The sequence below is a fragment of the Homo sapiens genome, chromosome 14, assembly GCF_000001405.40.
Source record: "Homo sapiens chromosome 14, GRCh38.p14 Primary Assembly".
Lineage (NCBI taxonomy): Eukaryota > Metazoa > Chordata > Mammalia > Primates > Hominidae > Homo > Homo sapiens.
Genome location: NC_000014.9, coordinates 83,626,455 through 83,628,636, shown reverse-complemented (window position 1 = coordinate 83,628,636; position 2,182 = coordinate 83,626,455). Strand labels below are relative to the sequence as shown.

The 2,182-nt window shown below is 40.2% G+C and overlaps 1 annotated feature.

Moving 5' to 3' along the window:
• Window positions 747-1,246: an enhancer, noted in NCBI's record as "H3K4me1 hESC enhancer chr14:84093735-84094234 (GRCh37/hg19 assembly coordinates)". NCBI's record gives its function as "activates a minimal SCP1, AML or CMV promoter by ChIP-STARR-seq in primed H9 embryonic stem cells {active_cell/tissue: H9 hESC(primed)}" and the evidence as "EXISTENCE:reporter gene assay evidence [ECO:0000049][PMID:30033119]".

Genomic DNA, 2,182 nt, shown 5'->3' with positions numbered 1-2,182 from the left:
GAAGTAGAAATAACATTTGACCCAGCAATCCCATTACTGGGTATATACCCAAAGGATTGTAAGTCATTCTACTATAAGGACGCATGCACACGTATGTTTTTTGCGGCACTGTTCACAATAGCAAAGACTTGGAAGCAACCCAAATGCCCATCAGTGATAGACTGGATAAAGAAAATGTGGCACATACACACCATGGAATACTATGCAGCCATGAAAAAGGATGAATTCATGCCCTTTGCAGGGACATAGATGAAGCTGGAAACCATCATTCTCAGCAAACTAACACAAGAACAGAAAACCAAACACCACATGTTCTCACTCATAAGTGGGAGTTGAACAATGAGAACACATGGACACGGGGTGGAGGCATCACACACTGGGGCCTGTTGTGGGGTGGGGGTGCTGGGGGAGGGATAGCATTAGGAGAAATACTTAATGTAGATGATGGGTTGATGGGTGCAGCAAACCACCACGGTACGTGTATATCTATGTAACAAACCTGCATGTTCTGCACATGTACCCCAGAACTTAATTTAAAAAAATGTATCATTGTCTTATTATTGATGACCCTAGTTATAGACATGCAATATTCATTAGTAAAGTGTAGGTTAGTAATACTCATTCCAAGTAAGTTAGAGTATTAGCTTAATTCAGCCTCACCTATTTTTATTGTCTTCACATACTGTAAATCTATCTGCCTTTCCCTCTGTCTGTCTCTCTCATTCTTTCTCTTGGTCTCTGCCCTTCATGTGTACACACATACACATACACATACACACACACACACAGACCAAAACCACATTTTGTTCTATACAATCAATATTCAATTGGATTGACTTATATTCACACAGTCACTCTTTCTACTGATATTCATTCCTTTTTTGATCTTCATATTTCTCTCAGGGATCATTTTATTTCTCATTGAAAAATTTACCTTCAGTGTTGAAAGATATACTCATTGATGGTGGCACTTTTGAAATAAATTTCTCCAGATTCTTTATTACTTTTCCCTTAAAGAGCTGGAGCTTACCCACACTCACTTTTATTGAAAGTGGGCTGGACAGCCGGGCGCAGTGACTCACGCCTGTAATCCCAGCACGTTGGGAGGCCGAGGCGGGCGGATCACGAGGTCAGAAGATCGAGACCATTCTGGCTAACATGATGAAACCCCGTCTGTACTAAAAATACAAAAAATTAGCCGGGCGCGGTGGCGGGCGCCTGTAGTCCCAGCTACTCGGGAGGCTGAGGCAGGAGAATGGCGTGAACCCGGGAGGTGGAGCTTGCAGTGAGCCGAGATCGCGCCACTGCACTCCAGCCTGGGCGACAGAGCGAGACTCCGGCTCTAGAGACTTACATCTGGAGAACAGGATATGAAAGAAGTGATGTGAATGATGGGGTATTGCTTTAGAAAGTAGGTTGTAAGAAGACCACAGCTTCTCTCCTGGAAATGCTGTTTTGCTGTCTCTCCCAAATCATTTTTTTCATTGAAATAAAATTCGCTAACCTAAAATTAACCATTTAAAGCGATAAATTCAGTAACCTTTAGTACATTCACAATGGGGAGCAAATGCCACATCTGTCTAGTCTTCTTTCTTTTTAAGATTTCAGTTAAAGTGGAATTAATGCTTAATTTGCTAAGTACTTTTGTATCATCGTTAACTTTCAGTAATTGTAGTTTTTACCCTTAGCATTTTTATCCTATTATTTTACAAATATATGCCTTGCTTTAGTTGTACTGAAATTAACATTGAAATTTGGATCATGGTTAAACTTTGTGTCTGATAACACCAACATCTATAGCCAAAAAGGTTGATTTTATTTCTTGTAGTTGTGTTAGTTTTTGATTCACATTGTCTTCTTTCATCCTGTGTCACACACTGTAAACATATTATAAACATATTGGGTATGTGTGTGAAGTGTGTGTGTGTGTGTGCATGCACGCGCAACACATGAAGTAGAGTAGAAGTCCCTTAAGATTATTAAGAAATTACTTCTTACAGAGAAAATGTAGTTTTACTCCTCCAAGGTGCCCATAGTAACTTGTAAAATGAGATCATCTTCCTGTATTTTTTAGGTATTGAGGGGATGTGTATCCAGACTTCAGTCTGGTTGAGGACAGTTCGTGTCTTACTCTTGCTGTCTACCTCTTTGGCTCTTTGCACTGAATCTGGTTGTTTGTCAT